We start from the raw sequence: 7,254 nt of genomic DNA, 5'->3' as shown, positions 1-7,254 counted from the left end.
CCCGTGATGAACCAAAAAGACCTTAAAAATAAAATAGAAAAATCAGGTATAGAACAATGGGCTTTACAAGACTGATATTTATGAACGGAGCTCTTAAAATTGTTAAAGATAAAGAACAACCCAGCCAAAGAGAGCACAAAATCTATTACTATCTTAAATAATTAACTCTGAATTTTTAATAAATTTACTTTAGGCATCAACTTCCTTAAAATACATTAAAGATGAGAGCATTACAAGTTTTAGCTTCACATACATGCTGTTGCTAAATGTTAACATTTGTGCTGACTCTCACCATTACACGAATCAGCCACAGGTAAAAGGTCGATGATTTCTTCAACTGACTTATTTATAAATTGCACTCAACTATTCTGCCAAGTTTGACTTCCTTATTGGTTCTGTTCTTCTGTATGAAAGCTGTACTCTATAATTACTATTCAGACAGTGCCGAACAGTACACTGTTGTTTCTGCTTTACTAGTTACACATGCAAAATAAGGTTTTTCCCAGTGAGTTCAGCTTTTAATCTAAAGTACCATGGACTGGTCTCCATATCCTTATTTGACAGGAAATGTTTCCCACTCAGCTAAAATATTGAAAAATTTTTAAATGATTTTATAATCATAAGAAATACTTTATAAATAAAAATCATGCCACCATCTCAAACTATCTACTATTAATACATTAGAGAATTTTTGGGTTTTTCATACATACATACACACTTTATACATTTTTACAAAATTATAATCATACTGTGTTAAAGTTTTGTATCCTACTTGACATTACAAATAAGCAACTTCTAGTTCACTAAATATTATTCAAAAATATGATCAATAATGGCTGCACTCCTCCCTCCAGTCCGTGCCTCCAAGATGACAAAGAAAAGAAGGAACAACAATCGTGCCTAAAAGGGGCACAGCCACATGCAGCCTATTCGTTGCACAAACTGTGCCCGACGTGTGCCCAAGGACAAGGCCATTAAGAAATTCATCATTCGAGGCTGGGCACGGTAGCTAAGGCCTGTAATCCCAGCACTTTGGGAGGCTGAGGCAGGCGGATCACGAGGTCAGGAGATCGAGACCATCCTGACTAACACAGTGAAACCCCGTCTCTACTAAAATAAAAAAAATTAGCGGGTCGTGGTGGCGGGCCCCTGTAGTCCCAGCTACTCGGGAGGCTGAGGGAGGAGAATGGTGTGAACCTGGGAGGTGGAGCTTGCAGTGAGTCCAGATCCCGCCACTGCACTCCAGCCTGGGCAACAGAGTGAGACTCTGTCTCAAAAAAAAAAAAAAAAAAAGAAATTAATTCATCATTCGAAATGTGGTGGAGGCTGCAGCAGTCAGGGACATTTGTGAAGCGAGTGTCTTCAATGCCTATGTGCTTCCCAAGCTGTATGGGAAGCTAAATTACTGTGTGAGATGTGCAATTCACAGAAAAGTCGTCAGGAATCCACCTTGTAAAGCCCACAAGGACCAAACACACCCACCCCGATTTAGACCTTCGAGGAGTGCTGCCCCACAACCCCCACCAAAGCCCATGTAAGGAGCTGAGTCCTTCAACACTGAAGACAAGGCCAGGCGTGGTGGCTCATGTCTGTAATCCTAGCACTTTGGGAGGCCGAGGTGGGTGGATTGCCTGAGCTCAGGAGTTCGAGATCAGCCTGGGCAACAGGGTGAAACCCCATCTCTACTAAAATACAAAAAATTAGCTGGGCGTGATGGCACACCCCTAATCCCAGCTACTAGGGAGGCTGAGACAGGAGAATCGCTTGAACCTGGGAGGCGGAGGCTGCAGTGAGCCGAGATCGTGCCATTGCACTGCAGCCTGGGTAACAAAGCGAGACTCCGTCTCAAAAAAAACAAAATGAAAATAAAAAGATTGAAGACAGACTATTCTCCAGAGAAAAAATAAAATGGAAATTGTACTTAAAAAAAAAAAAAAAAAAAGGCTGCATGCCATTTAATCCCAGGCCGTAGTATGTTTATTCGGGTTGTCTGCAATTAGTAACAACATAAAATTTGAACTTTTGCTGTAAAAGATCAAAGACTAAATAGTGCAGTTTGCTGTCCACATACTGACTCTATCACATAATCTTTGTTATTTCCTACAACCCTTTAAAAGGTAAAAACCATTCTTATGTTGGGTGCGGTGGCTCACGATGTAATCCCAGCACTTTGGGAGGCCGAGGTGGGTGGATCACCTGAGGTCAGGAGTTCAAGACCAGCCTGGCCAACACGGTGAAACCCCGTCTCTACAAAAAAATACAAATATTAGCCGGGCGTGGTGGCACACACCTGTAATCCCAGCTACTCAGGAGGCTGAGGCTGGAGAATCATTTGAACCAAGGAGGTGAAGGTTGCAGGGGGCCGAGATCCTGCCACTGCACCCCAGCCTGGGCGACAGAGCGAGACTCTGTCTCAAAAAAATAAAATAAAAGACACTTTTATTTTGACAAAGTCAAGGCTGACACTTTAGTGATCCTTGCCACATGGTGTTTGTATTTGAGAGAAGCAGTCGGTTCACCCCCGGGGCAGAGGTGAGTAGGAAGCCTCCTGTACACATCATGTACCTGGCAGGGCCATCTGTTGGCTGTGCGTGTCCCAGGGGCTGGAAATAGAAATGCCATCCTTAGAGAGAAGTAAAATTCCTATTTTTGGGGTGGAAATGAGGACAGTGGGTGAGCTAACTGCCTCTTGGGGATTACTGAGGGATTAAGGGGGAAGCTCTGCAAGAGTAGCGAGGGAACGATGCCTCCTAGATACAAAGGATTATTTTTGTGACCCCAAAAGGTTACACTAAAGAATAAACATATGGCCCATGTTAGATAATCCCATCCACCCTCAGGTCAACCCAAATCAGCATGCCGAAAGGGACTGGGTCCAGGAATCAATGCGTTTCTTCAGCCAAAATATCTGAGGTGCAGACTTCCCAAAAAGTATTTGCAATTTGGGTGGCAGCCACTCACACCTATTAGAGCTTAGCTCTGGGAAAACATCATAAGGGGACCTCGTGTCAGGCCATTTGCACTCTTGGTTTTATTGCTGCACTGAGAGAGAAAGCGGGAGTCCTGGGGGCTCACTGAACGCTGAACCAGAGAGCAGAACAGCTGGACACAGCTGGACACAGCTGAACATGGGGTGCAGGCCTGGAGAACATGGGTGAGAGACCCTTGCTTTTCTCAGCCCTGTTCTCCAAATTTTGAGCTTTGGCTTTTCACTCACCTTTTGTTTTTCTCACTAATTCCCACACACTACCTAGTGTGTGTCCAGGTGTGGGTTGGACGAAATGTGATGAAATGTCAACTGCACGCTGAGCTTATCATGTTGTCGTCAGCAAGTCCCTAAGACTTAGGACGCAGGACAGATAAGCTTCTTGAAAGAAAAAGGATGGGGAATGTGGTCAGAAGGGGCCAGGCCTTCCCCAGCAACCTGAGCTCTGCACAGCGTCTTGGCCGTGCTCTGCTGCAGCCTCAGGGTGTCGAGGACTGAAAGTCCCAAGAACTTAAAATTCCAAATGTGCTCTAGGGAAAGTTGGCTTTTCCTAGATCATTTCTCCCTGTAGAAATTTAATTTAGTTTAATTTCTTACATTGTGTTAATGTGTTAACATTTCCAATTTACAATTTCCATTGTAAAAATGTAAAGCTCAAATCCTAAATTTTTGCCTTTAAAATTTATTTAATCAACTGCTATCAAAATTCACTTTCTTTTCTTTTCCAAGCAATGAAAAGAGAAAGTGAATTCGATGTGTGTATCCACACACATATAAAATATATATACCAGAAAATATATATCAGAAATATATATGTATCAGAAAAAAATATATATCTGTTACATATATCAAAAAATATAGATAGCCCTCCCTCACTATTCGTGGGGGATTGGTTCCAGGAACCCCCATGGGTAACAAAATCTACAGATGTTCAAGTCCCTGTTGTAAAATGACATAGTATTTGCATATAATCTATGCATATCCTTTGATACTTTGCACATCCTCTGATACTTTAAGCATCTCTAGATTACTTATGATATCTAATAATATAATGTAAATGCTATGTAAACAGTTGTTACACTGTATTGGTTTTTTAATATGTATTATTTTTTATTGTTTTTTAAAAATATTTTTGATTTGCAGTTGGCTAAATCTATGGATGCGGAATCTGCAGATACAAAGGGTCAACCCTGTGTACGTGTGTTTGTGTGTGTGAATGATACACACATATATATATACGAAAATACCGAAACTGGCCCAATTGTCCCATAGAACTGATGTCAACTGATATTTATGGTTTTTTTTGAATAAACATAGAAACTGACCTTCCCAGTCTTAAAACTTGAGAAAGGTACATTTGTCTTATTTGAGCTTTCCTCTCTCAGGAAACCAACCATCAGCCTTCCCAAATACTATCAAGAAACTGAAACTTACCAATCACTGCATCTGGACAATGGGATGTCAGACCGCTCACCCTTCATGATTGCCTATAAGACCACCTCCTTCCTGTTGACCAGCTCCTCTTTCTTGCCCCTCCCTAATTCCTATTTTTCCACACATGGTTACATTTCTTACTCATTATACAGATCCCTAATTTTAGTGGGTTGAGGAGATGGATTGCAGAATGATCTCCCATCTCCTCAGCTGCAGCACCCAATTAAAGCCTTCTTCCCTGGCAAAACATGTCTTAGTTCTTGGCTTTCTGTGCAGTGAGCAGCAGGACTTACACAGAACCCCTGCTATTTCAGTAACAATACTCTGAAAAGAAGAGAAAGTGAATTTGATGTTTATATGTGTATACATATACATACACACCCATATAAGTGAATTCACTTATGTTTATGTTTTGATTATTTTGCTTTAATTCTGGAAGCACATCCTGTATTTTGTCATGTCTTCCTTGATTTTTTGAAATGATTTTTAGTCTTTGCTTATCTACTTATATTTCAAAAGTCTGGATATTTATTTTATATTTATGAGGTAATATTTTTAAAGGACAGATGAACCTGAATCAATTGTCCTCAAACAGATAGTCTATAACATTTCCATTAAACCACCTGCTTCCTACATTTTTTAAAGACAAGGATTAAATGACATTTGAGTACACACAGACTTGATACAGTAAATAATACTATGAACTTTAAAATGTCTCTTGTACTCTTTTAAAACAATTTCTTATTGTCACATTATCATTTAATCACCCTATAAAAGGCAGTGGAGGGCTGGCATATCATTGCTTTGTATATAAGACAATTGAAGTCCATAAGGGAAGGAAATTACCCAACCCCAAACCATACAGTATATAATGGCAGAGTTCTATTTCTAAAACCCTCTAACTTTTGTCTCCCAAGGTGAAGCTTATTTTACCTGACCACTGGGAAACCAAGAAATCATTGCAAAGAGCTCCCAAGTCTATATGTCCACCAAGAATTGTGTATCACTGATGTCTACCACTCACGGATTTTCAAACATATGTAAAGATTATGTATGGTTAGCAAAATAAAAATGTATTTTAAAATGTTATTGCATTCAGAGTAGCTTTCACACAACACATGATTTCTTAGTCAATGGATATTGAAATAAAAAGAGGTCCTCATTGTGGAAAGGTTATGAACCATTGCCATTAATTACTGAATCATTCAGGATGTGCTAGGTCAAGTGCAGTAGAAAACAACCCCCAAATCTGTGATGTAAAACAGTGTGGCCCATTTCTCACTCATTGTGGGTTGGCTGGGACCTCTACTCCACAGCTTCCTCCTGCACCAGGGCTGACTAATAGATCAGCTACTACCATCTGGACCATTTCCATTTACCATGGCAGAGGAAGTGAGCATGATAAATTATGCACTGATTCTTAAAGGTCTGCCTGGAATTGGCACCTGTCAATTCAACTCATACTTTAGCATTTGCCAAAGCGAGTTACGTGGCCACCACTAACACCAAGAGGACAGGAAAGTACAATCCTACCATGTGCCAGAAAGGCAGGGACATTCTGGTGAGCACATTAGTGGCTCACCACAACCATATTAACTCTTGCACTGTGGTTGTAGGACAGGGGACACCAGGACTTTCCAAAGGTAGATTGCAGGATGCTGGAGGAAGAATTTTATAATTAATACTCCTATGTAATCTAGTAGTTCTTAAACATTTCAGTTTTAATGACTCACTTTCCTCCACTATGTTTTATACCACATATTATTTTTCCACCAAAAAAAAAAAAAAAACCCAAATCCTCAGAATCCTCTCCAATGTGCACTTCATCTCAGATCTCAGACAGAGACCAGTAGTTGAAAACTGAAGCAAGCAACGCAGTGAAAAGAGCTTACCTTTTTCAGTTTGCTGAACAGAGTTCTGGAGCTGTCTTCTCTTCATCTCCTTTTGATATTTACCAAACTTTTCGTTTGAGAACATTGATGTCACTACAATTCATTCTGCATTCTGATATCAGTGTCATTGTGATAAATGTTTTCACTCTATTCTCAAACCACACAGTTTCACACCCTTTTAAAATCAAGTTGTAGAAAATCTCTAGCTTTTTTCATGTGAAAAGTCCTTTTCTCTTTAGACTATTCAGATGTGGCTGCTGATGCAGATAAAATGAGCTAATTCCAAGTAGCCACATGCAGACTTTCTACCTGCAAATTACTATTTCACGTCTTCCATGGCTAAAGGTCCTCCATCATTCATAGCAAGCTAACTGACACTAGGATAGTCATTCTCCCCAAGTGACTCCAGATGGAGTCTGTTAAAATGCAGATCCCTAGGCCCCACCCCAGCTTTGCATGTTTATGAAGGGGAGCCAGGAATCTGTAGTTTTCATTAGCACTCCAAGTGACTCCTATGAACACTTAAATTGATGAGGCACTGCTATGGTGTAATCTGAACAACAGAACTCCATCTTCTATTGAGGGATACATGGGAGAGAGCTTCCAAAGAACAAGAGGTAGAAATCTAAACAAAAGATTTTTGAGCTTCCATCTCAATTTAAGGGGCAGTCATGCTGCCTTGGAGTGAGACAGTCCACGGGAGACAGTCCATCAGTTCCTTTCAGTGATGCTGGTAAATAATTTAGTCAGACAACTAAGTGCCCATTCCATTTCAGAAAATGAAGCAGGAATTCAAAGGCTTTGAAGGTCACTCTGGATTACTTATATTGTAAATGATATTAAGCCTATATCCAGAGTTTTAAAAAAGGTTTACATTTTATATAGTATCAATTAACAAATAATGTTAAACTGAAGGGGTTTTTTAAGCTTATTTTTTAACTC

The sequence above is a fragment of the Homo sapiens genome, chromosome 2 (assembly GCF_000001405.40).
Source record: "Homo sapiens chromosome 2, GRCh38.p14 Primary Assembly".
NCBI lineage: Eukaryota > Metazoa > Chordata > Mammalia > Primates > Hominidae > Homo > Homo sapiens.
Note: the sequence above shows the minus strand (reverse complement) of the source record.